The sequence below is a fragment of the Homo sapiens genome, chromosome 15, assembly GCF_000001405.40.
Source record: "Homo sapiens chromosome 15, GRCh38.p14 Primary Assembly".
NCBI classification, from domain to species: domain Eukaryota; kingdom Metazoa; phylum Chordata; class Mammalia; order Primates; family Hominidae; genus Homo; species Homo sapiens.
Genome location: NC_000015.10, coordinates 93,326,263 through 93,353,493, shown reverse-complemented (window position 1 = coordinate 93,353,493; position 27,231 = coordinate 93,326,263). Strand labels below are relative to the sequence as shown.

Below are 27,231 nucleotides of genomic sequence, written 5' to 3'. Positions count from 1 at the left end.
CCAGGACTTTGGGAGGCCGAGGCGGGTGGATCACAAGGTCAGGAGATCGAGACCATCCCAGCTAACAAGCTGAAACCCCATCTCTACTAAAAAATACAAAAAAATTAGCCGGGTGTGGTGGCGGGCACCTGTAGTCCCAGCTACTCGGGAGGCTGAGGCAGGAGAATGGCGTGAACCCAGGAGGCGGAGCTTGCAGTGAGCCAAGATCACGCCACTGCACTCCAGCCTGGGTGACAGAGCGAGACTCTGTCTCAAAAAAAAAAAAAAGAAAAGAAAAATCTATCATTTTGGAGGCAACATATTCATATAATTGCTAAGTTGCTGCTGCTGTTGTTTGAGTAGGGACCTTGCTGTGTCATGTATGGTTCATTCAGGCAAGGGCCACAGACAGTGCCGTGCATGACCAAGCCCTGAGGATTGGCTTTAAGACAGACAACTGTCCTCACCACCACAACCCCCAGACTGGTCAGGGTCTGTGCTTTTTGAATTCAGTGATACAATCTCCACATTCTCTGCACCTCGGAATTGTCTGCTCATCTGTTTTTTTTTCCCCTTTGCAAGGCTTGCATCTTTGAGAGCAGATGTTTTCTCTCTCCTCCTAGTCCTCAGCTGGTACTTGGCATTTAGTAGGCACTCAATAAGTGTATGATGAACACATGAGTTAATCAAGTAATTGATTAGTTAATGGAAATAACATTAGTGGATTTGTTTCTAACAACAAAGCATCTTGATTTCCTGCCCCAGATCAGCACTCAAGTTCACCTGTGTCAGCCTCTGTGGAGCCTTCATTTTATGACTAAGTCTGTGGCCAAACCATCCTGTATTTAAAGCTCTCGGAGAAAATAACACACACGGCCTTTCTGATTCTAGAGTGTTTTACGCTGATTTACACAGCAACTAGAGCTCAAGAGAACTTCTAAAAAGAAGCTAGCCCTTTTCTCTCTAGCTTTAAAGGAAACCTCAGATGCATGCCAGCCCACCCCAGCAGCCTTTCCCACTGGGCTGGTTTTTGTCTCCACCCAAGGGGCTACCCAGCTATCTTGGGTGGGGTCAGGCCGATGAGAGCTGCGTGGAAATTCTGCACACAAGGTTTCACACCTACAGATGTGTAGGGTCAGGGGTGGTTGATGTCACTAATGCAGTGGGGACCTAGTCAGGAAAACACGCAGAAAAACTGACCCTAGAGAGACAAAAGGGAGGAGAGACAAGGAAAAGAAAGTGCAGAAAGGGAAGAGGAGACAAAGAAAAGAGGAGAAGGCTGGGAGCAAGGAGAAGGGCCTTGCACACTCAAGGGAAACCCCAGAGCTCACCTAGAGAGCAGTTCCAGCATCGCAGGTGATGAGCATTCCTAGAAAGCTTTAGCCCAAGCTTTAGTTTCAGTCCAAATTTGGTATTATTAGGATCTCAGATTAAAAGGGAATTTAGAGCAATATGTACGGGCGATTCACCTGGAGAGGGTTAAACAATGTAAATTCTCGGGCCCCACCTTAATAGATCTTGATTCTGTGTAGTTCCGGGTCTGGGAGTAGATATATCACTAACTCTCTCCCATGGTGATTGGTGCAGTAATCAGATTTCAGAACCTCCATCTTAGCATTTGCCCAGCCTCCTGAGAACACAAGAATTTCAGCTCTGCAGACAGACATGGCTTGCACATTTCCAGGGGCAGGAAGCTTATGACTTTTGAGATAGCTCTGGTTGTTAGAAAATTCCATCTTCTTAAAAAGTGCTCCCATCTGCCTCAGGAACTGAGTTCTACCAATTTAGGAAAAAAAGGATAAGGCAAGAAATTGAAGACGTGTATCCCCTGGGCCCCAAAAGGGGAAACATAATTAGAAATTCAAGCTGCTGTTGCCACTATTCTAACACCCTTTCTTCTCTCTGTCAAAATGCCCAACACCTAATTACTATGAAATCTAGCGTATCCACTAGGACAAGTTCTGTGTTCATATTTCTGATAACGTGCATAGCGTCCCCAAATGAGCTAAAAATCACATCACCCAGGAAGCCCCCTTTACTGGACCAATTGAGAAAGTAGGAAACGGTTGCTATTTCTTGCCCAATTCTTGCCAGAAAGACTCTATTTGACTTCCTAAGGGGAGACAAAGAGGACCAATGCCTGCAAAGCCTACAAGTGCTATAGAAACTTTTTCCCAACCAGCAAACCAGATAGAGGCTCCTGCCTCTGAATTAACAGTTTCCTCAAAAGCTGGCTGGCAGGCCACTCTTTGAAACCCTTGGGAAATCTTTACATTCACTAATTTGACAACCCCAAGGGTGTTTTTTCTTTTTTGAGACAGAGTCTTGCTCTGTCACCCAGGCTGGAGTGCAGTGGCACGATCTCGCCTCACTGCAAGCTCCGCCTCCCAGGTTCGTGCCATTCTCCTGCCTCAGCCTCTCAAGTAGCTGGGACTACAGGTGCTTGCCACCACGCCCAGCTAAATTTTTTGTATTTTTAGTAGAGACAGGGTTTCACCATGTTGGCCAGGATGGTCTCGATCTCCTGACCTCATGATCCACCTGCCTCAGCCTCCCAAAGTGCTGGGATTACAGGCGTGAGCCACCGTGTCTGGCCCCAAGGATGTCTGTTTTTAACAAGGTTTGGTAATCTTTCCAAAGAGGTCTCTGGGCTCCTTGAGAAGGGACTCCCCAACTCCTCACCACCCACAGACCTGACTGTCCATTATTAATCTACAGTTAGGTTGGCCAGGAGACCCCACACACTTCACTGGTTTGGGGTCTGAGAGGGTTATGTCAATCAAGACAGGAGGTGGGGGAGGAACTGAGGGGCGGTTTCTGCTGGATTGTCAGTTCCTGCTAGGAAAAGCAATTGATTGGGAACCAGGAAGAGCTCTTGGTTGAATCTCAGAACAGAATAAATATGCAAACTGAAACAGTCAAGGGGAAGTTTGCATGACACAAAACAATCCAAAGGGGCAAAATGGATTGTTTTAACCAATTCACCTGCACCTCCTCTGCAGGGCAGAGGGAAATACTGCCTGCAACTCAGCGAACATGAAGGAAGCAGGAATGCAAGCTCTTTCCAATATTTTGTTAATCTTTTTTTTTTTTTTTTTTTTTGAGATGTAGTCTTGCTCTGTCGCCAGCCTGGAGTGCAGTAGCACGATAGCGGCTCACTGCAACCTACACCTCTTGATTCTCCTGCCTCAGCCTCCTGAGTAGCTGGGACTACAGGTGTGCACCACCACACCCAGCTAATTTTTTGTATTTTTAGTAGAGACAGGGTTTCACCATGTTGGCCAGGATGGTCTCAATCTCTTGACCTTGTGATCTGCCCGCCTTGGCCTCCTCCTTGGATTAAAGGCATGAGCCACTGTGCCCAGCTATTTTGTTAATCTTAGGAATGATTCTGGATCCTCTGCTAGTTAGAAACTCCCCCAAGGAGAGCTGGTGCAGAGGTAGCCCTGGGTCTGAAGGAACAGATGAAGAGAGTGTGACTGCCCCTGGCAATCAACAGCAGATGGCCAAACGGAGCACTGGGAGTGAACTTCACTGTGACACAGAAAATTCAAAAGCAAGCACCTAAAATGCCACAGGGAACTTGTCCAGAAATCAAACCAAGCAGAGGAGGAACAAGAGATCCAGAGAACCCACACCTATGGAGCATCTGCTGTGTATCAGGCCCAGGATAGCCTGATTTAGTTTTCACCATCTGTGGCAGGGAATTTTTTCCCCATTTTACAGATGAGGAAGAGGAGGATAAAGGACTGTGCCTAAGGTGTTGAGGCTAGTAAGTGAGGGATTGGAGATTAAGAATACCCATCTGTCTAAATCCAGACAGCATTCACTACAGCAGCCCACCATTCTGCCCCAAGAGAAATAATATTTTCTGTAGAATATATGAAATAAGGATGATTTCTTCCCTTCCTTAATCAGCCAACCTAGCTTCCCTTCCAGCCTGTTCAGTCACGTCTGACCGTGTCACTCCTCCATCCCGCATCTTCTTGGGCAAAGACCTGGGCAGGACCACCAGGCAATCTTCCTAAATCACATCCCAACCCCAATGTAGGGTCCCCCAATCTGGAAGAATAATCGTTGTTAATATACCATTGTTCACCAGTAATTGCTTTCCTTTGGGCTTCACCTTCTCTAAAGCCATCGGCAATTTCTCCCAGCTCCTGCCTTCTTGAAGCTTTTGTTTAAGTCTTTAAAAGACACGACTTTCCAAAGAAATAATTAAGGCTTTCAAGCCCCACACTTTTAACAAATATATTTTGACCTCGTTTCATCCCTTTTGGAAGGGCGAAGTTTTCTGGCACCTTAAAGGGATTTTCATTCAATTATCCTCCAGAATCCTCTTTTCTTCTTTCTTTCAGCACAAAAAGCTTCCCATTTGCCTCCAAAGGTGAAATTAGGTTCTTGCCCATTCAGCATCAGGCAGGGTTTTAAATTGGATGAAATAATAATGCTTCTTTGAATTTCAGGGCAGCCTTCACAGAAAGAAATCAGAATCTGCCCTAAGAAGCAGCTCTATCATTCACTGCCTTTCCATTCTCCCTGTGCTCTGGGGGCAGGGGCTATGGCAGAGCTGGAATTCCAGTTCACACAAACACACAAAGACCCTAAGAAAAGTTTATTCAGGAGTTAGGATAAAGCCAGGGAGGCCATTCCTTGTCCCTCTGTGCTTCTGGACTGTGAGATGGTGCTGATCTTTCGACTTCAACCACCTTACCATTAGCCCCCCTTCATGCCTGGAGGAAAACCTTCCCCAATAAGGACTGAAGAGTTGTGAGCATTTTCTTTTTAGTAAAACAGAATGAATTCAAAAGGAATGATGATTGAACTGAAATAGAATGCCCCAGAAAAAAAAAAAAAAGAAAATGATTGGGATTAGCTTGACCTGAGCATTTATCCTTTAACTTGAAACAGACAACTTCCCTGAACATGGAAACTAAAGATAAACAGTCTCATTATATTTCTCATGAAGCATCTAGTTGCCTCGCCACCACCCAGGACCACCCAGTAAACACACGCACAAACACACTCACACATGCACACACACACACATCCTAGACGCACACACACACACATCCTAGACATCCAACAGAACCATCAGCAGGAGAAACCTGATCAGTTGGCATCCATTAATAATGAGAGGTATTTTACATAATTCAAATGAAAAGAATATCATCCATATGCCTCCCACAGCATCCCAGAAATACCCACCATTCACTGTCAGGCTGTAATGACTTCATTCCTAAAGAAAAGTAAGGAGTAGGTGACAGTCACAGCATGTCTTGGGGATAATCTGCCAAATTTATTTCAAAATTGAGGGATTCACTTGTCTCATTAATCCAGCCTCACCTGGCAAAGGAAAGGGTCTGAATGACTTGCACAGAAAACAGCATGTGTGATTGAAGCCTTGAAACCCGGGAGAGGAGAGGCAAAGAAGGAAGGAAGAAGAGAAGGCACAAAGGAATCCCTATGTGGGGTCAGGGGACAAGGGGAGCACCAAAAAGCAGGAGCCAGCCAACAAGGGCAGCTTTCTCATGCTTCTCGATTCTGCCTGAAGCCCGAAGGGGTGGTTTTTTTGTCGGTTTTTGTTTTTTTGAGACAGAGACTCACTCTGTCGCCCAGGCTAGAGTGCAATGGCGCGATCCTGGCTCACTGCAACCTCCACCTCCCAGGTTCAACAAATTCTCCTGCCTCAGCCTCCCGAGTAGCTGGGACTACAGGTGCCTGCCACCACGTCCAGCAAATTTTTTTTGTATTTTTAGTAGAGACGGGGTTTCACTGTGTTACCAGGATGGCCTCGATCTCCTGACCTCATTATCTGCCCACCTCGGCCTCCCAAAATGCTGGGATTACAGGCGTGAGCCACCGCGCCCAGCCAGGACTATGCAATATCTTATCACTGGGGAAGCTGGGTGCAGGGTACATGGAGGTTCTCTGCACTATTTTTGCAACTTTCATGTATATCCAAATATATTTCAAAAGAAAATCTTTAAGTAACTAAAGATAAAAACACTTGGGTAAGGGGTGTTGTAGAATTTATTTGAATAAACTCTAAATAAATATAGGAGGCAGGTGGCCGAGTGTGGTGGCTCATGCCTGTAATCCCAGCACTTTGTGAGGCCGAGGCAGGTGGATCACCTGAGATCAGGAGTTCGAGACCAGCCTGGCCAACATGGTGAAACCCCATCTCTACTAAAAATACAAAAATTAGCCAGGCATGGTAGCACACACCTGCAACCCCAGCTACTTGAGAGGCTGAGGCAGGGAGAATTGCTTGAACCCGGGAGATGGAGGCTGCAGTGAGCTGAGATAGCACCACTGCACTCCAGCCTGGGCAACAGAGTGAGACTATCTCAAAACAAACCAAAATATATAGGAGGCAGCACTTTGAGGTGGAAATATTTGGTTAGCCAGGAGAACAGGTTATGTTCCTCCATGTGTTACTAACACTGCATAGACTTGGGCTCGTTTTCTAGCCTCTCTATAATTTAGTTTTCTCATCTATAAAGTGGGAAAGAGGATCATACTATGGGATTTTCTGACATTTCTCGTTCTCAGAGTAAAAACCTGGGTTTCAAGACCCAAATGTTTTCAATCAGCAAGCCTGCTGCATCTGGAAACAAAAAAAATCTCCTGAAACAACTTCCTTGTAAATTTCTGTTTCTGATTTTGACAATTCTGCAAGAATGTCCTCCTTTGGTTTTACTGCAATTCCCAGCTGTAGTCAAGAAAGGTGCCTTGATTCTTCTGCTCACTCACCTTGATGACAGAGCCCATCTCTCCTTTACCTCTGCTATTCCTGCCACCCTGAAACATGCTTAGCCCAAGGTACTTGCACACAAGCAAAGAGCTACTGCATATGGGGAAGAGGGAGGCCAGGGCTTAGCAGTCAGACAATAAAGTTCATGACCAAAGGACTCAAGAAAATGCAATGAGAATCAAGCATGGCTCATGGACAAGAAAAGCCTTCATGAAAAAGCCATGTCTGCAAGCACTGGGCATGCAAGCAGGTATCCCTGCTGTCTAAACAGAAGCAACTCCTTAGAGCCATACAAGGAATGCTACAGCCACTATTAGACAATGATGCTTGTATAATAAGAAATGCTAGCAAAGATGTCCACTAGAGGTTTTTAATACCTTAATTATCAGAAACACCCGTGTAGGCTTGTATTAGGATACTTTCAGCCACAAGGAACAGGAACAGACGATCACACCAAAATCGTCCTTAAAAAAAAAAAAAAAAAAAAAAAAGGACGTTTATGGACTCAACTGTAAGATAAAAGGCATGGTAAGTCCCTGTGTTGCTGGCTTTAGAGCTTTTCTGTCTAATGTGGTTGCTTTAACCACATGTGGCTATTGAACACTTGAAACACGGCTAGTGAGAGTTCAGATATGCTTGAAGTATGCAATACTGACTAGATTTCAGAGACTTTGTACGCAAAAGTGAATGTAAAATACCTCAATAATTGTAGCTGAAATTATCATTTTAAATATTAAATAAAAGAAATTGCTTGAATTTCACCTTTTTTAATTTTATGTGGCTACAAAAAAATTTTAATTACAGATGTGGCTGATGTTTTATTACTACAGCACTGCTTTAGAACAGCTTGGCCCTGCAGAAGACATTTGTCAATGTCTGGAGATTGTTTTTTTTTTTTTTTTTTTTTGAGAGAGAGAGTCTCGCTCTGTCGCCCAGGCTGGAGTGCAGTGGCGCAATCTCGGCTCACTGCAAGCTCTGCCTCTCGGGTTCACACCATTCTCCTGCCTCAGCCTTCCGAGTAGCTGGGACTACAGGCGCCCGCCACCACACCTGGCTAATTTTTTTTGTATTTTTAGTAGAGACGGGGTTTCACCGTGTTAGCCAGGATGGTCTCGATCTCCTGACCTTGTGATCTGCCCGCCTTGGCCTCCCAAAGTGCTGGGATTACAGGCGTGAGCCACCGTGCCCTGCCTGTCTAGAGACATTTTTGATTGTCATGACTGAGGTTGGGGGGCGTGCTACTAGCATATATTGGAAAGAGGGCAGGGATGCTGCTGAACATCTTACAATGCACCAGACAGACCCATCACAAAGAATTACCTGGCCCAAAATGTCAACAGTCGACAAGGTCTGATAAAGCAAATTCTCCTCTCTGCTATAAACCCTACTGGCTTCCTTTTTTTTTCTCTCTCTCTCTCTCTTTCCCTCTCCCCACCCTCCATCCTCTGATAGGCCCTAGTGTGTGTTCCTCTCTGTGTCCATGTGTTCTCATCATTTAGCTCCCACTTATAAGTGAGAAAATGCAGTATTAGGTTTTCTTTTCCTGTGTTAGTTTGCTAAGGATAATGGCCTCTAGCTCCATCCATATTCCTGCAAAGGACATGATCTCATTCTTTTTTGTGACTGTATAGTATGCCATGGTGTACTGTGGCGGGATAATCAGAGATAGGAGAGACTGAAGAGAGTGAGTTCAGGAAAGGTCTTTATTAAAAGGTGATCACCTGGCTTAGTAGGACTAGCATCCAGGAAAGTCTGAGCCCCGGACAAAGAAAGCAGCCACCTTTTAAGCAGTCAGTGGTGATGCAGGAAGCATACTTACAGAAGCGAGAACAAAGGCAGTTGATCAGTCTTTTTTTTGAGACGGAGTCTCGCTCTGTTGCCCAGGCTGGAGTGCAGTAGCGCGGTCTCAGCTCACTGCAAGCTCCACCTCCTGGGTTCATGCCATTCTCCTGTCTCAGCCTCCCGAGTAGCTGGGACTACAGGCACCCGCCACCATGTCTGGCTAATTTTTTGTATTTTTAGTACAGACGGGGTTTCGCCGTGTTAGCCAGGATGGTCTCGATTTCCTGACCTCGTGATCCGCCCACTTCAGCCTCCCAAAGTGCTGGGATTACAGGCGTGAGCCACCGCACCCGGTGATCAGTCTTTTACATTTATCTATACTATATGTTCTACATCCTTAGGAAGCCATGTTTCTGTATCAACCTTGTAACTTTACAGCTGTGCTAGGCAGGTGACGCAGGAACTCACTGAGCCTCAAGGAATGTGAAACTGGGGAGTATGGGTAAGGCTCACTGAGCACGGAAGGAAAAACAGGCAGGCAGTATTCTTCTCTAACTTAGACTACGGGGTTGGGGGTGGGTACACTACACTTAGCTTTTGAAGGAAAAAGTAAAAATTTCTTGGTTGTCTTTGATTGTACTTGTAAAATTCATAAATTCCTTCTTCAGTATATGTACCACATTCTATTATTGCCTTTCTTTTAAGGTTGATTTTCCTCCTGATAGAGAGATGGCTGCCTGTAGCTATCTTCCTTGTTCTTGTCTACTGGGAAAAGACTGGACTCTCTTAAATCCAAAGAAGAATTTTCTCCCCTAGACTGATTCAAATTTCAGGGACTTATTTCTGTGATCAGCAGACACGTACTGTTTGCATTAAACTAAACTGTTTGTATGAACTGCATAGTGTCAGAGGTGTTTGAACCAGAGTGACTCCATCTTGAATAGGTGCTGGGTAAAATGAGGCTGAGACCTAATGGGCTGCATTCCCAGGAGGTTAGGCATTCTTAGTCACAGGATGAGATAGGGGGACAGCAGAAGATACAGGTCACAACGACCTTGATGAGAAAACAGGATTCGGTAAAGAAACCGGCCAAAACCCACCAAAACCAAAATGGCAATGAAAGTGATCTCTGATTGTTCTCAGTGCTCATTATACACTGATTATAATGCATTAGCATGCTAAAAGACACTCCCACCAGTATCATGACAGTTTACCCTACATGGTCTAAAAAGAGGAGGAACCCTCAGTTCAGGGAATTGCCCACCCCTTTCCCAGAAAATTCATGAATAATTCACCCTTTGTTTAGTATATAATCAAGATATAAGTTTACTCTCAGTCAAGCAGCCCATGCTGCTGCTCTGCCTATGGAGTAGGCATTCTTTTATTCTTTTACCTTTTTTTTTTTTTTTTTTTTGAGATAGAGTCTCGCTCTGTCACCCAGGCTGGAGTGGAAAGGCATGATCTCGGCTCACTGCAACCTCCGCCACCCAGGTTCAAGCAATTGTCTGCCTCAGCCTCCCGAGTAGCTGGGATTACAGACGCCTGCCACCCAGCTAATTTTTTTTTTTTTTAATCTTTAGTAGAGACGGGGTTTCACCATCTTGCTCAGGCTGGTCTTAAACTCCTGACCTCGTGTTCTACCCACCGCGGCCTCCCAAAGTGCTGGGATTATAGGCGTGAGCCACTGCGCCCAGCCCCTTTCTTTTGCTTTCTTAATAAACTTGCTTTCACTTTATGGACTTGCCCCAAATTCTTTCTTGCACGAGGTCCAAGAACCTTCTTTTGGTGTCTTGATCGGGACCCCTTTCTGGTAACAATAGTAAAAGGTATACTTCTGTTATTACTCTCTGAAAGAGCTCTGGTATTAAAACAATTGTTACAAAGAGTGATGGCTACCCACAAGAAACATGTAGCTCTCATACAGTTACTTCAACAAAGTGCTTTAAGTAATTATTAATATTTTCCATTATCAAATAAAGATGCTTTCTTTCCCAACACTGCACTGGCAAAACAGTATGTTCTCATTAACTGAGGTTTAAACAATTAGTTTTATTTCTCCCCATACCTAGTATCCAAATATCTATTTACTTGGTTATAAGACCAAACAATTTTTGTTATCGCTTATTCTTCAGATGAAATTCAATAAACCATGCATGACATTTTTAATTAAACTGATTTTCAGAAAGTGCATAGAAGTGATGTGGGGAACAGCAGGAGGATGAACTGCAGGGTATAAACAGAAAGAGCTGTTCTCCATTTTTAACCAAATCAATATTCAATAATCTTAGTGCCTTGAAAAGCTACAAATAGGGACGTAACATGAGACTTTATAGAAGAGGGAAAAAAAAAGATGTGCTTTAATCTTTTTCTTTGCAGAAGACGACCCAAGATTTTTGAAGACACAAAGACAAATGTGCCTTGTGTTAAACTGATCAGACATCAAGTTAAATCTCCTCAGAAAGGTGCTCATTCGGGGAACTTCTGCTCACTCATTTTTTTTTTTTTTTTTCTTGAGATGGATTTTTTTTTTTCCAGGCTGGAGTGCAATGGCGCGATTTCGGCCCACCGCAACCTCTGCCTCCCAGGTTCATGTGATTCTCCTGCCTCAGCCTCCCGAATAGCTGGGATTACAGGCATGTGCCACCATGCCCGGCTAATTTTGTATTTTTAGTAGAGACAGGTTTCTCCATGTTGGTCAGGCTGGTCTTGAACTCCCAACCTCAGGTGATCCACCCACCTCAGCCTGCTCACTCATTTTAAACACATCCATGTCGGTTCGCATTTTTCTTTCTCTTAAGTTATCTACCACCGTCTCCTTAAAGTTTCCTATAATTGAAAATGTACCACCTGGGCTAAAGAGAGACCATTCTCAACCTCAGTTTCTCCCCCAAGCCTCACCTTGAGCACCCACCTGCCCTCTTCTCTCATCCCCCCAGGCCCATATTCTAAACATGTGACCATCAGCATAGGATGTAGTAACTGCCTAACTGGGAAATCCACTCTGGTGAAGAGGCCCACTACCCTCTTTTCAGCTGTTCAATCCACTCACTTCCCCTAAAGGGAAGTTAAAGGAAGCTCTATTTTTGGTTAGGGTAATGCTAACTGCTGTATTAACAAAGAAACCCCACAACTCCAACGGCTTAACAATAAAAATGTAGCTCTCACTCACTTAACACTTCAGTGTGTTCGCTCTGGTTGGAGTGGAGGAGGAAGGCCTGGAGGGAGGTCTGGACAGGAGTAGGCTCTACCCTTTTCCCACAGGCAGTGTCCAGCTCTCCTGGGGTGTCACTCCCCAAGGGCAGGTAAGGAAGACACATGCACTGCTTAGCCACCTCTGCCTGGGTGCCGCCAACATCATTTCCATTCATAGGTGAAACTAAGTAACATCCCTGGCTAAGCAGCTGCTTCTCAGGAAGCATCCTGTACCATGGAAGGGCCCATGAATTTTGAGTGGACAGTGGCTTTCTCCGCCGCAGATGTCAAAGCAGCATTACTTCATGGGTCCCACCCAAGGACAGAGAAGGACAAGTCTAAAATGTAAAGTCAGTTATTCTAAAAGCCTGATGCCTATTCCTTAAACTGCATATTTGTCCCTTGCAACAGGAGATGACACATTTTCCAAATATTGTCAACGGTAATGTTCAAAGGCAACAGGAGTTAAAAGAATGAACTTTGAGTTCACGCAAGCTGGTTATAAATCCTAGCTCTGCTCCTGCTTTCTAAATGACCCTGGGCAAATTGCTGAACCTCTCATCCTGATTCCTTATCTCTGAGAAGAGGATATTAATATGTACTTAAGTCAAATTATTGGGATTATTAAATGAAACCATGTATTTGAAGTGCTTAGCCTGTGCTGAGCTTACAGAGCTTACAGTAATGTTTGATAAATGATAGCTCTGGCTAGTAAATGGTCTAATTTATGTGACGAAAATTGTTATTTTAATCAACAGAACCCTTTTGAACCCTGGTTCAAATGAATAATGGTAAACCCAGTCTCCTTAAAGATTCAAGGAACAATTAAAATTCTAACAGAATTGAATTAGAATTGGTTTAAAAGAGAAGACTCTTCTTTGAAAAACACATTTAAAACACTGTCTTCCTTTTAGTTCTACGAACCTCAAATCAAAGAACTTCAAGGTATGAAACAAAACACGTTTGTTTGGCTTCGCTTACTTTGTTGGGATTATTCATGTGTGCATGTGTGTAAATTACTGCCTTCTTCAGCTGAATTGTCCATGCAAATTTCTCATACCCTCAGAGAGATCATTAATTCATGAGATTTTTATAACTTAAAATCTGAAGAAAAGATAATAAATGATGTTAGTACAAATGAAGCCAGATTCCCATCCTTTGATGTTCCAGAAGGATTCCATCAGCTTGCAGACATTTTCAGCCTGGCTGAATGTAAAACAATTGCCTCCTTCAGAGACAAATGCCAAAATGTGGAGTTCCGATATAAAACATTAGAACAATTCTATGACCATTTATGAGTTTGAACCTTTCTTCGGAATCTATTTCCAAAGTGATATTTTTTTTTAGTGATATTATTTTAGGCTCATATTCAAATAAAGCAACTTAACAAGAGTAAGCTTTTTGTCATGGCACAGAAGAAAAAAGCAAAAAAGACAAACGAAAAAGGACTGAGTCTTTGTGCACACAGTAGCTGTCACCTTGTCCCTCATTCCACATCGCTCCTCTTCTGATAATTAAGTCACTTAATGTGGCTTCCAATGGACTTTGTACCTAAACAATCCCTCACCGAATCTCAGAGGCCAGGAGAGAGAGGGACGGGGAATAGGATGGGGTAGGGACAGAGGATGGAGCCAGGGCTTTGCTGCAGAAAGGTCCCAAGTGAGAAGCCAAATGGCGGGTCATCAGAAAGGACCATGACCTGAGCCAGGAGCCCCAGCTCAGGATGTACATTTCAAAGACTTTAAATTCAAGAGCTGGTGGACACTGCAGCAGGATGGAAGTTGCGTGAGGAGCAGAGTTAAGAGGGTCCTGACTGGCTGCCATGACTAGCTGCAGAATACTCCCACACCTTGCCTTGGTGGCCCGTCAGCTACATAGCAAGCTGGTGCCTTGGGAAGCCTTCAGCGTTTTCTATAATACGAACGAATGGCCGGGCTTCATACCTTCTTTCTCCATGTGTCCATTGGGCACCAACATTTTACAAGTCTCTGTCCTGAGCCCTGGAGGTACTAAACTGAAAGAAAAGGTGCTCAGGTCAGAGAGAAATGAATTAACAGGCCGGGCGCGGTGGCTCACACCTGTAATCTCAGCACTTGGGGATGCCGAGGCGGGCGGATCACGAGGTCAGGAGTTCGAGACCAGCCTGACCAACATGGTAAACCCTGTCTCTACTAAAAATACAAAAATTAACCGGGTGTCGTGGCACCAGCCTGCAATCCCAGCTACTCAGGAGGCCGAGGCAGGAGAATCACTTGAATCTGGGAGGCAGAGGTTGCAGTGAGCCAAGATCTTACTGCTGCACTCCAGCCTGGGCAACAGAGGGAGACTCTGTCTCAAAAAAGAAAAAAAAAAGAAAAAGAAATGAATGAACAAATTGATGCAGTATAATGAGCAATGGGCACAGGGCATTCTGAGAGCACAGAAGAGAAGATATAAAGACAGCAAACAAGAGGCACTGCCAGGGGGAGGGTGACAGGGCTGAGCTGATTTTCTCAGTCATTCAGATCTCATAAGCAAATGGCTAAATAGCAGTCAGCTCATATCAGTTACCAATTTCGTTACAGCAAACCACCCAAGGCATTTATTGTGGCTCCCATAACAGGAGCCATGTTTTGTGGGTCAGCCATTTGGGGCTGGGCTCAGCTGAGCTGTTCTTTTGCTGTCTTGGCTAGGGACATTCATGTCCACAGTCATCTGATAGCTCAGCTGGCATGGGATGGTCTAGTATGACCAGGCTCACCTGCCTGGCTGTTGATGCTGTTTCCTGGGTTTCTCTTTGCATCGTTTTAGAATTCCAAGAGGGCAAGGCCTAAACTCAAGAGTTTATCAAACTTCAGCCTGTATCATGTTTACTAATGTCCAATTGACCAAAGCAAGTTATTTGGCCAAGCCTAGAGCAATGTGAAAGGAAACTACATAAGTAAGGGCATGCATACCAGTAGGTACAGTTCACAAGGGCTAGTATTTCAACACTCCACCATAGCTCTCTTCTCTGAGTTATCCTAGGTAGGTTATTAGGCACCCCTGAGGAACTCCAACTCCACTTATCTCCATCCTTCACAGGGGAACAAGCTCATTCAAGGGTCTAGGTCAGGAGTCATCTCTGCTGACAGCCAAAGCCTCCAAAGCTACCCCAGCTCCTAGCATAAGGATCCCTGGGGTCAAGATCGGGCCCAGGCCCCTCACAGCCTGCCTGGGCAGAGTCTCAGGAAGCATAGCCCTCAGGCCAACAGCCCCCAATCAACACACACCAGGAGAACAAAGGAAAAGAGAAAGTCCTGGGGAAGACGGATGTTTAGGAGAAGCAAAAAGAGGACTTAGTGGCCTTGAGGTCCCCTCGAACTCCAGACATGTAATTCCTAGAGGCATAAGTACCCAGTACATTCCTGTCTCAGCAAGACCCTGGATAGTAACCCCTACTCAAAAGGTCTCCCCCGTAACTCAGGTACACATACACACTTAACCATTCTTTACAAGAACATAGAATCTTGGTGTTGTGAACAACTAGGAAGGTTTTTTGTCTGAAATCTCATTGCTCTGCTGAGTAAACTGAGGCCCAAGGTGGTTAAGTGACCAACAAAATAAGTTCAGAACCAGGAGTGGGTGTAGCAAAAGGATTAAGAATACAGAATCTTAGGTCAGGCATGGTGGCTCATGCCCATAATCCCAGCACTTTGGGAGGCCAAGACAGGACAATCACTTGAGCCCAGGAATTTAAGATCAGCCTAGGCAACACAGTGAGACTCCATCTCTACAAAAATTTTAAAAATGAGCTGGCTATGGGGGCAGACACCTGTGGTTCTGGGTACTTGGGAGGCTGAGATGAGACGATTGCTTGAGCCCAGGGGGTCGAGGCTGCAGCGAGCCAGGATCGCACTAATGCACTCCAGCCCGGGTGACAGAGTCAGACCCTGTCTCAAATAAAGAGGAAAAAAAAGAATACAGACTCTTAGTTTGTTTTAGATATTAAAGATTAGCAATCCTTGAACAGTATGATAGCTCTGGGGTTTATTTCCATACCTGATTAAATAACAATGAATTTTTTTCTTTTAAATTTATCATTATAATTTTCATCAGCTATAACTGTTAGTTAAATGTAATTTACTGTATATTTCAAAATAGCTGGAAGACAAGACTTGTAATGTGTCCAGCACATGGAAAAGATAAATGTTTGAGGTGATGGATATCTCAATTACTCTGATGAGATCATTACACATTGTATACATGGATCAAAACACCAAATGTGCCCCAAAAATATGTACAATTTTAAGAATTTTTAAATACAAAAGAAAAGGAATTCACCAAAATTATGTCCACAGAAACTAGAAACATTTAATATATCTGTGATTAGAAGTATCAAATAATATGACGAAAAATTATTAGATATGAAAGATCTGATCTTTTTATTGTTTAATCTAGTGATTAGAAAACGTGAAATATTTAAATAATCTTATTTGAAATGAGTTTTATTCCTGGAGCTTATTTGACTATAACTTTTCACTTAGAAAAGAGTCACAGATAAATCACAAACCTCTGTTGGTCATAATCACTTTTCCATTCACATTAGTTTTTTTAAAAAAAAAATAACATTTTTAGAGCAGTTTTAGGTTCACCAGCAAACACATCAGACTTTTTAGCAATAACTTGTTTTCATTAAAGAATTAAAACTTGACTATCACCATTTTAATTTTTTTATTTTTATTTTTATTTATTTTTTTATTTTATTTCATTTTTTTTGAGACAGAGTCTCGCTCTGTCGCCCAGGCTGGAGTGCAGTGGCGCCATCTTGGCTCACTGCAAGCTCCGCCTCCCGGGTTCACGCCATTCTCCTGCCTCAGCCCCCGGAGTAGCTGGGACTACAGGCGCCCGCCACCACACCTGGCTAATTTTTTGTGTTTTTAGTAGAGACGGGGTTTCACCATGTTAGCCAGGATGGTCTCGATTTCCTGACCTCGTGATCCACCCGCCTCAGCCTCCCAACGTGCTGGGATTACAGGCGTGAGCCGCCGCGCCCAGCCTCACCATTGTAATTTTTAAAATGCCAAGATGCTAAGATCAAAGTAGCTTTTATTAAATCCTATATTATTTTCTTTGAGAGATAGAGATCAAAACCTAGAACTTTTAGTCACTATTCTAATTTACTGAAGAAAGCAAATCTTCCCCTCATACACAGAGCCTAACAAAGTCAAGATCCATCTAAGGCAGGGTTTCCCCACCTCTGCACCCTGGGACTGGAGAATTCTCTGTTGTGGGGGCGTCCTGCGCACTGCAGGATGTTTAGCAACAACCTTTACACACTAGATGCCAGTAGCCCACCCAGAACACTCTCCCTGCCAGCCCTAGTCATGAGGATCAAAACATCTCCAGACATTGCCAAGTGTCTCTTAGGAAAGAATCATCCCCAGTTGAGAGCCACTGATCTAAGCAAATCAAAATCAATCAGAGCCTAATATATGTTTAATATACTCAACGTCTGCTTTCTTCACCTTCCTATAGCAAGTTACAGAAGTAATCAGAGCTACATGTGTTGATAACTCCTATATGCCAGCTAAGCATTCTCTCATTTCATCCTCCCAACAATTTTCTAATTTGGGTGTACATCCAGTAAGATCTCTAGAGGGGAATTGAGACTGGATGAAAGAGAGGATTCTAGACCTATGGAAATAGTGGTTAAAGTTGGGCAAAGGGTTGGTCTATCAGACCCTTGAGGGGGACAATGCAAATGTTATATATCAATCCTTGATATTGAATTCAAGGGCTGTGTTTGCTTTAACATCTAGATCATATATGTTTTTCTTTTTTGTTTTTTTAAGAATTCTAAGATGATAATCACTATTTATTTTTCCAATTCTTCCCCCACTGTCAACCCACCAACAAATTTACAAATCACTTTTGTTCTAGGCCTCGTAATCTTCTGATAAGAAATCTAAATTATTACCCCAAAATAATCCATCAAAAAGGTAAAATCCAGGACAGCCCTCATCAATTTGGGAAAACTGGTCACCCCACCCATACTTCACCCTTCTTTTTTGTAAATTTCTGTCGTTTGTTAAACAATCCTTCCTCTTTCTCTTTTGCATCTTTGTTGTAGCTGCAGTAAGAGAGAGGCTAGATTATCTTTTATTGAGCCTAGGCCAAATGGTCAGTGCTGCCAACTGACAATAAAATTTCCAGATCATAAAATTCAGTCATGAGGGCTTAAGTGCTAGGTGCATCATATGTTCTCACTCATAAGTGGGAGCTAAGCTATGAGGATGCAAAGGCATAAGAATGACACAGTCGACTTTGGGAACTCATGGGGGAAAGTGTGGGAAGTAGATGAGGGATAAAAGACTACTAATAGGGTGCAGTGCATACTGCTCAGGTGATGGGTGCACCAAAATCTCACAAATCACCACTAAAGAACTTACTCATGTAACCAAACACCACCTGTTCCCCAAAAACCTATGGAAATAAAAAAACAAACGTTTTTTAAAAGAAAAAAATTTTCCAACAGAGAGATAAGAGGAAGGAAACCTTCTGCTGCTACTCCCAAAGACATTTCCATTTTCGAAGAAACTTTTCCAGCCTGCAGATAGATCACGTATGTTTTTCAATACTCAACAGAAGGTCCTTCGTATACTTTATAAAGACTAAGATCCAACAACAGTGATCACAGAGAGTTTTTTTTTTTTTAGCAAATAAGGAGAAAATCCATATCCATATCTTGTGCAAAATGTGCTGGGTCCCTAAACTTTTGGTTTCAATGTGTTTCTATCCCAAACCAAAATATTCTTGGGAGCTTTATCCATTTAGCAAGCTTGCTCCTTCAAAGAAAATAGAAAAACTTAAATTGCTTAGGACTTTGCATATAACACATCATGCTAAAAATAGCAGACATCTTCACCTAATCCTTCCAACATCTCTGTGAAGGGAGTTTCATCCCCAGGTTTCTGCTGTGGTGACTGAGGTTCTGAGAACCTCCGTTTCACTGATCAGCAGTGACAGAGGCTGGATTGAACTTTGTGGAATGACAAAACAATGCCCTTGGTGTTTCAGCCCTTATCCCAGAGTTCTGCACCACACCAGTCAGTGCATAGTAGCGATTAAGGGTGAAAATGCATTACATTAAAATAAGAAGGAAGTTTTAGGTTAAATATGATGTTTGAGAAAAATATCTTCTATGTGGCACTGGAGATAGACATGTGTGTTTGGAAATATCTTGTACGTGATATTTTGGGTAGAAATGAAGTGAGCTGACGGAAAAGAATTTGAAGAACATAACTCAGCAAGAATATGTCTCCAGGAAAAAGCAATTTTAAAGGAAGCAAGAAAGAGGAACCGAGTTCGGGATACAGCTTGGGCGAACCCAAGGCATCTTCCTAGGAGAAAGGTCTGACTGTGGAGACAATGAGATTGCATTGAGCTTGCTTGCTGAGGAGTTCCTGGCACAGTGCCTTTCTCCCCCTGGTTTTGTTGTGATCAAGGTAAGTTAACCAGGTGTCCATGAGTTCGTGGTAAACTCCCCTCCCATGCATCACATCACTGCATGGAAGGAAACCTGAGAGGGAAGAAGAGGGGCTGTCGATGCTAATTGTATTTTCATTCAAGCTCTCTGGATTGCAAGAGATTTAGGGACTGTGCACCATGAGCAAGCTACTCTTCCCAAATTTGTGATCATCCTCCATTTGCCGCTAGGGGACTTAGATCATCACAGCACATTTAGGTTTCCTGACAAGCTAACATCAGGAGCACGCTGCATCTGGCCTCCGTGTTTAGTGGCGTGGTCAGGGAATTCTTTGAGTTCAAGATCCCTGTTCCCAAATTCAAAGAGTGAAGGAAGAAAGACAAATGCAAAGCCCCAGACAGGCAGGCTGTGTCCTGGCTGTGAAGCCAGGTTGTAAGTTGGAGAAGCACAGCTTCACATCTGGAAAAGGGGGTCGACAGCACCCTGAGGGTGTGGGGCAGGCAAGAGCCTACCAAGCCCTGTCCTCTGGAAACCGGATGTCAGCAACAGGAGCAAGGGAGGCAGCTGTCACTCCAAGGGCTGACAAGCCCTTGAGGCAGCTCCGATCTGATGAGAATTTGGAGGCATTTGTTTCCTTCCTCCCACTGACCTTTGTCAGCAGCAGGTTATCAGCCCCACACCTACCTGTTCCCCCACCAGGCTGTAATAGTCATGCACCTACCTGTTCCCCCACCAGGCTGTAATAGTCATGCACCTACCTGTTCCCCCACCAGGTTGTAATAGACATGCACCACCCGCACGCACGAGAGCATCCCCCACCAGGTTGTAATAGACATGCACCGCCCGCACGAGAGCATCCCCCACCAGGTTGTAATAGACATGCACCGCCCGCACGAGAGCATCCCCCACCAGGTTGTAATAGACATGCACCGCCCGCACGAGAGCATCCCCCACCAGGTTGTAATAGGCATGCACCACCCGCACGAGAGCATCCCCCACCGGGTTGTAATAGACATGCACCACCCGCACGGGAGCATCCATTTTAATCACAGATCTGGTGGAGAAAATATCATCTTTCCCCTAGCACCAAAGTTGGTATATTATGGAGTAGAATACCAAACTCACAAGAATTTCTTTTTTTTTTTTTTTTTGAGACAAGAGTCTCTGTCTCCCAGGCTGGAGTGCAGGGGCGCCATCTCGGCTCACTGCAAGCTCCGCGTCCCGGGTTCACGCCATTCTCCTGCCTCAGCCTCTAGAGTAGCTGGGACTACAGGCGCCCGCCACCACGCCCGGCTAATTTTTTGTATTTTTAGTAGAGACGGGGTTTCACCGTGTTAGCCAGGATGGTCTCGATCTCCTGACCTCGTGATCCACCCACCTCAGCCTCCTAAAGTGCTGAGATTACAGGCGTGAGCCACCGCGCCCGGCCCATGACTTTCTAAAAGTTAAAAAAGATTCTAAAAGTTAAAAAAGATTCTAAATATCATACCTGAGCGGAACCACTTAAAAGACTGTCCCCCTCCTCAGATCTCGGGGGGAGGGGAGGAGAGGTGACGTGAGGGTGAGGCATTTACTTGTTTGGGGTGTTCAGGGTACTTCTGGGGGAACTTGAGAAGCCCCTTCCCACCCCCACCCAGTGAATCTGGACTTCTGGGTGCACACCGGTCTGAGGAGAGCTCCCAGCAGGGCCCGGGTACTGGGCCCCCATCTCTTTTCTCTCACTGGTTTTAAGGGTGTCAGAGGCCAGCAGGTACCTACAGATCTAAACCCAGAAAGAGCACCCTCAAACTCCTCTTAGTCCCTTGAGCAAGCTCCCTTGGTATGAAATCTGAAGCTGCCAAACAATGCAAAAGAAAAAGGAGTCAAGACTGGGAAAAGAAGAAGAGGAAAATAACAATTTAAGATGCATTTCTTTCTTCCCAGAAGCTCAGCGTCTGGTAATAATGGATTAGAAACACTACTTCCCTTTCCCTCAGCCAGGAGATCAGGCAGCAAGTACTCCCAGTTGGAGGTTTTCACCAGGGTTTTATTTCGTCTGAGTTTTTTGTTTTGGTGTTTTGTTTGTTTTTCAGGAAACAGAGAATTTTTAAAAGGACAATTCATGAGGTTTTTCATTTTTCTTTAACTTTTGTTTTGACGTGAGATACAAGCGTTCCCATTGTGGAACATGAAATATGTACATATGTAATTCCTGAAAGTCCCTTTAGCCCAAAATAGGAAGAAAGGCAGACAGACAATCTTTGGGGAGGCGATACCTTTCTGGCAGGGATTGAATTGTCCAGGATAACGCTGTCCAGATTCCAGCCTAGACGTGTGCGCCGAGGGGCCTGCAGGAGATCTGGGAATTATTAACTGCAAGAGCAGCCCTGCACACTTTTCAGTTCTGCTTGCAGCTGCAAGGGAGAATTCTGAAGGCAGGGTGCAAGGTGTTGTTGTTAGCAGAAAGCCGCCTCCAGCGTGAATGATGTGCAGCTGCTCACTCCCCCCTCCCCCACAGCCAAGTGCAGGCGTTTTGAAGGGAGTGCTAGAGCTCCTAAAGTGATGAAAAGGAAACACCTTCCTAACCCGAAGGTGTTTCTAATTACAGCAGCTAATTACCAAACCTCCACTGCATTTAATTGCCACAAACAGAATCACAAAAGAACAATTAACAAGTAAAGCCCTGTACTAACAGTTATGCCTAAAAAGGAAGTAGAGAGAGGGAGGGAGAGAGGAGGGAAAAGAAAGGGACTCTAAATCCTGTAGTCTGTTGTGAGCAGGTATACAGTTATTGTAAATAGTTTCTATGAACATTTACTTGTGAAATCTCAGGGCATTAAGTCTGCCAAAATCATCAGCTCAAAGTAGTGAAATTGATAACTGGTGAATGAACAACCAAGACCAATTATTTATGTTTTTGTTCACCTGAGTTTCTCAAGCTTCTGCTCGGCTCATATTGATCCCAGTTGGCTCAAGACATCTGTTTTTCCAGTTTTGTCAACATCCCCAGAGTTGCTTTTCATAAGTTATGATTTTGACAAAAACTTAGAAAGGAGTGTGTTGATCTCACAGCAAAAAATGTGGCTTATCTCTAAAATGGAAAAGCGAAAATTCCTGAAGTTCAAGTGCTTGCACATGACACAGCTCACACACAAAAAACTCTATACCTGCTGTTACGGGTTGAATTGTGCCCACTCCCCTTCATATGTTGAAATCCTGAGCCCCAGTACTTCAGAATGTGACCTTATTTGGAAATAAGGTTGCGGCAAATGAATTAGTTAAGGTTGTTACAGAAGGTAGCTAGTTAGGCATGAGCGGGACAGAAGAGGGCTCCCCGAACCCACACCCCAACAGGAAAGTCAGGTGGCCACCAGGTGATGGTCAGGCAGTTGTCACACTGTGACAGCCAGCACCAGGGAAAGGCAATTTCCCTGTAGATAGAAAACACCTGAAATTGGTGATCAACAGATTCTTCTTCTTTTTTTTTTTTTTTTTTTTTCCCGAGATGGAGTCTCGCTCTGTCGCCCAGGCTGTAGTGCAGTGGCGCGATCTTGGCTCGGCATGATCTTGGCTCACCACTACCTCCGCCTCCTGGGTTCAAGTGATTCTCCTGCCTCAGCCTCCTGAGTAGCTGGGATTTACAGGGGCACACCACCACACCCAGCTAATTTTTGTATTTTTCGTAGAGACGGGGTTTCATCATGTTGATCAGGCTGGTCTTGAACTCCTGACCTCTTGATCCGCCCGCCTCGGCCTCCCAAAGTGCTGGGATTACAGGCATGAGCCACCATGCCCGGCCGACAGCTTCTTAATAAGATCTCAGGAATTGGGCTTGGGCTCCAGCATGTGCATTATGAGGCAAAATGGCAGAGGATGACCTTCCGGGGGCATTTCAGCAGAAAAGGGAAGAAGGCCTCAGGAGAGGATGCTTGCGACTCCAGTCAACACACTGCGCATGCTCACCTCTCAAGCGCTAGCAGGCCATGGCTCATGTGGGCCGGTCACCCTAAGGGAAGGATCAAAGAAAAGGGACACAGGACGGAGAAGTATGCCGATGTGTAAAACCCTAAGTCAAAGGCCACATGCCGCACTTGACCTCCAAAATGTCCACTTGGCCCTCTTCCAAGTGCACTTGACTTCCTTTTCATTCCTGCTCTGAAGCTTTTTAATACACTTTCACTCCTGCTCTAAAACTTGCCTCCATCTCTTCTTCTGCCTCACGCCCTTCAATCGAATTCTTTCTTCTGAAGAGGCAAGGATCAAGGTTGCCGCAGACCCTTACGGATTCACCGCTGGTGACTTGGATAACTTCTGCTGGTAACAAGATGAGAGTCATGCTGGAGCGACGAGGCCCTAATCCAATTTGACCAGTGTCCTTATAAAAAGAGGAAATTTTCACACACACACACACACACACACACACACACACACACAGAACACCATAGAAAGATGAAGGCAGAGTGATGTGCCACAAGCCAAGGAACACCAAAGATTGCCAGCAAGCCGCCAGAAGTTAGAAGAGAGGCATGGAACAGATTCATCCGCACGGCTCTCAGAAGGAACCAACCCTGCCACATCTTGATCATGGACTTCTAGCCTCCAGAACTGTGACATGATAAATTATAGCAGCCCAGCCAACTAATATAGCTACTGATTCTACCTCATGATGCCCTTGCCATTGGGCCTCTGCCCTATTTCCCCATTTGCCACCACACTCGTTCAGTTGTTCATCACCTTCTACCTGGACCATTGGAACAGCCTCCTAGCTGCTCTGCTGCCTCCAGACTTTGCCATCATCCAGCGTCCCCTGCACCAGGGTGAGCTTTCCTTACTACAACTCTCACCATAGACTCTGTTAACTCAAAATATTAGAGACAGGTCTCCATCAATTAAGAAAGTTTTTTTGCCAGGGTTAAGGACACACTTGTGACACAGCCTCAGGAGGTCCTGATGACATGTGCCCAAGGTGGTCGAGGTACAGCTTGCCTTTTGTTTTTTTTGTTGTTGTTTTTTTTGAGATGGAGTCTCGCTGTCTCCCAGGCTGGAGTGCCATGGAGTGATCTCGGCTCACTGCAAGCTCCGCCTCCCGGGTTCAAGTGATTCTCCTGCCTCAGCCTCCTGAGTAGCTGGGACTACAGGCTCCTGGCACCACGCCTGGCTAATTTTTTGTATTTTTAGTAGAGACGAGGTTTCACCATGTTAGCCAGGATGGTCTTGATCTCCTGACCTCGTGATCCGCCCGCCTCGGCCTCCCAAAGTGCTGGGATTACAGGCGTGAGCCACTGCACCCCGCCAGCTTGCCTTTTTTTTTTTTTTTTTTTTTTTGAGATGAAGTCTTGCTCTGTTGCCCAGGCTGGAGTGCAGTGGCATGATCTCGGCTCACTGCAACCTCCACCTCCTGGGTTTAAGCGATTCCCCTGCCTCAGCCTCCCAAGGGGCTGGGACTACAGGTGCGTGCCACCATGCCCAGCGAATTTTTGTATTTTTGGTAGAGACGGGGGTTTCATCACGTTGGCCAGGCTGGTCTCAAACTCCTGACCTCGTGATCTGCCCACATCAGCCTCCCAAAGCGCTGGGATTACAGGTGTGAGCCACTGCACCTGGCCATGCTTGCTTTTTTACAGTTTAGAGAGACATGAGACATCAATATGTGCAAGATGAACATTGGCTCTGTCCGATAAGGCAGGACAGTACAACTTGAAGTGGGGTCTTTCAGGTTAGAAGTAGATAAGAGACGAAAGGTTGCATTCTTTTGAGTCCTTGATCAGCCTTCCACTGAATACACCATTTAGACTGGGTCAGTGAATCTGCATTATTACATAAAAAATAAGGCAGAGGAAGCAATCAAATATGCGTTTGTCTCTGGTGAGCCTCAGCAGGGATGACTTTGAGTTCTGTCTGTCCTTTGTCCACAAGGAATTTCCTTGTGGAAAATTGTGAAGGAGGTATGTCGCTTCTTAACTCTGTACCTATCTTATTTAGGAATAAAATGGGAGGCAGGTCTGTCTGACATAGTTCCCAGTTTGACTTTTCCCCTGACTTAGTGATTTTGAGGTCTCGAGATTTATTTGCCTTACACAGCTCTCAGGATTGGAATAATAATAAAAGCAATAAGAAATTAATAACCTCTTGATGAGTGTATTGTAAATATCAGGCATTGTGCAAGGCATAAGAAAAAGAAACGTAAAACGTAGTCCCTATTTTCCAGGAGCTCCCAACCAAATGGGGTGGGTGAGGGCAGGTACGTACTAGATAATTAGAGAGATGGTGCAATATGCATAGGGCACCATGGAGGCTGGGCATCGCTGGAGTAGGGGACATATTGTGAGGGGGTCTCCAGAAATGAAAGATTCCTGAGCGGAGTCCCAAAACACTGGATCTCAATTCTGGCTGCATTCTACAATCACCTGGGAAATTTCACCAGTGTAGATACCTGTGTCTGACTGGCCCCCAGACGTTGATGTAATCGGCCTGGGATGCAGCTTGGTTTTAGGAAGTTGCAAAAGATCTCCAGGTGAGTCTAACGGGCAGCCAGTTTTGAGAACCTGTGTCCTAAAGCACTGATTTTCTGCAAATTGGAATCACCTGGAGAGTTCTAATAAACTCCGATGGCTGGGTCCCACCCCTAGAGATTGGATTTAATTGGTTTGGGTGCTGCCAGAAACTAAAGCATTTTTTAATGCTCCCCAGGTGATTGTAATGCACAGACGAGGTCAAGAACCACTGCCTGAGAGGAATGCTTCTCAAAATTGAATGTGCATAGGAATCAGCTGGAGATCTTGTTAATATGCAGATTCCTAGTCAGTAGGTCTAGGGTGAGGTCTGAGGTCTTACCTGTCTAAGGGAGGCCCTAGGTGCTGATGTCCCTAGTCTTGCAGCCACACTTAGATTAGCAAGGCCCTAAGGAATGAGCACAAGTCCTCCAGGTGGAACTAATGTGGTCCTGAACTAGGATGGTGCTACAGGAGAGAGAACAAGGGATGGACTAGACAGATTCTTAGCAATTATTCAGTGAGACCTGATATTTGATATGCATGTGAGAATGAGAAAGATGAGGGCTACAGTCGGGTTTCTAGCATGGAAGCCTCAGCCTTCATATTCACCACAAGAACATCCCAAATAATGCCAAAGACTTGCTGGATTTTTGGTCTGTTTCATGTTTACCAAGTACCATCTCCAGTGCTCCAGCTCAAATGTCCTTTCCTTTGTCATCGTCCCAGACACCTCGCAGACAGAATCAATCATGCCTTCCTTGCTTTTCTTTTTTTCTTTATTATTATTATTATTATTATTTTTGAGATGGAGTCGTGCCCTGTCGCCCAGGCTGGAGTGCAGTGGCGTGATCTCAGCTCACTGCAACCTCCGCTTCCCGGGTTCAAGCGATTCTCCTGCCTCAGCCTCCCGAGTAGCTGGGATTACAGGCGCGTGCCACCACACCTGGCTAATTTCCTTCCTTGCTTTTCTTTCCTCTTTCCCCAAAACAAAAAGTGCAAATCTTCATGCTTGCGGGGTGGGCCACGTCAGCATGTGCTTGAGAGAGCAGGCTGGGTGGCAGATGTGAGAACAGGAAAGAGCTCATGCCCTATATAAAGGAGCGGTAGCTACTCAGATGCCCCTGTGTGTGGCTTCACAGGAATATGGACCCAGTGTTGCCAGATCATTCATTTTCTAAGAAAAGCTGAAAATCTAGAATTTTCAGATCATTCATTTTCTAAGAAAAGCTGAAAATCTAGAATTTTATGTGAAAACTCCAGGGTGTTAGAGGTTGGCAATTCAAATATTTTCAAACATCCTGTGGGCCAAACAAAATGGATGTGTGGGCTCAAATATAGCTGGGGACCCCTTATTCATGACCTGTGCATCTTGTATCCTGCCACTTCCCAGTACACAATGACTGCTGTAACAGAGCTAACCTGGAATGCCATTTCAGCGAAGATGAAGAAGGGCCAGCTAGGGGGCCTTGAACCGCTTGGGTGTGACCAGAACAAAGGTTGGGTGGGGTGGGTGAGTATAGGAGGAGAGTGTAGCACTGACAGGTAAAGCTAAGAAGCAGACTGATACTAGGCCAAGAGACTCTGAAAATCAAACAAAGGCA

General features: G+C 44.9%; 1 long non-coding RNA gene across 1 annotated transcript in view, besides 2 other annotated features; it reads right to left on the bottom strand.

Annotated features, from left to right (window-relative positions):
• LOC105370982 (uncharacterized) overlaps positions 1 to 27,231 on the bottom strand; it is a 171,228-nt gene that overhangs the window by 30,197 nt on the left and 113,800 nt on the right. The window lies entirely within an intron of this gene.
• Positions 20,845 to 21,444: an enhancer, noted in NCBI's record as "NANOG hESC enhancer chr15:93875279-93875878 (GRCh37/hg19 assembly coordinates)". NCBI's record gives its function as "activates a minimal SCP1, AML or CMV promoter by ChIP-STARR-seq in naive H9 embryonic stem cells {active_cell/tissue: H9 hESC(naive)}" and the evidence as "EXISTENCE:reporter gene assay evidence [ECO:0000049][PMID:30033119]".
• Positions 21,445 to 22,046: an enhancer, noted in NCBI's record as "OCT4-NANOG hESC enhancer chr15:93874677-93875278 (GRCh37/hg19 assembly coordinates)". NCBI's record gives its function as "activates a minimal SCP1, AML or CMV promoter by ChIP-STARR-seq in naive and primed H9 embryonic stem cells {active_cell/tissue: H9 hESC(naive and primed)}" and the evidence as "EXISTENCE:reporter gene assay evidence [ECO:0000049][PMID:30033119]".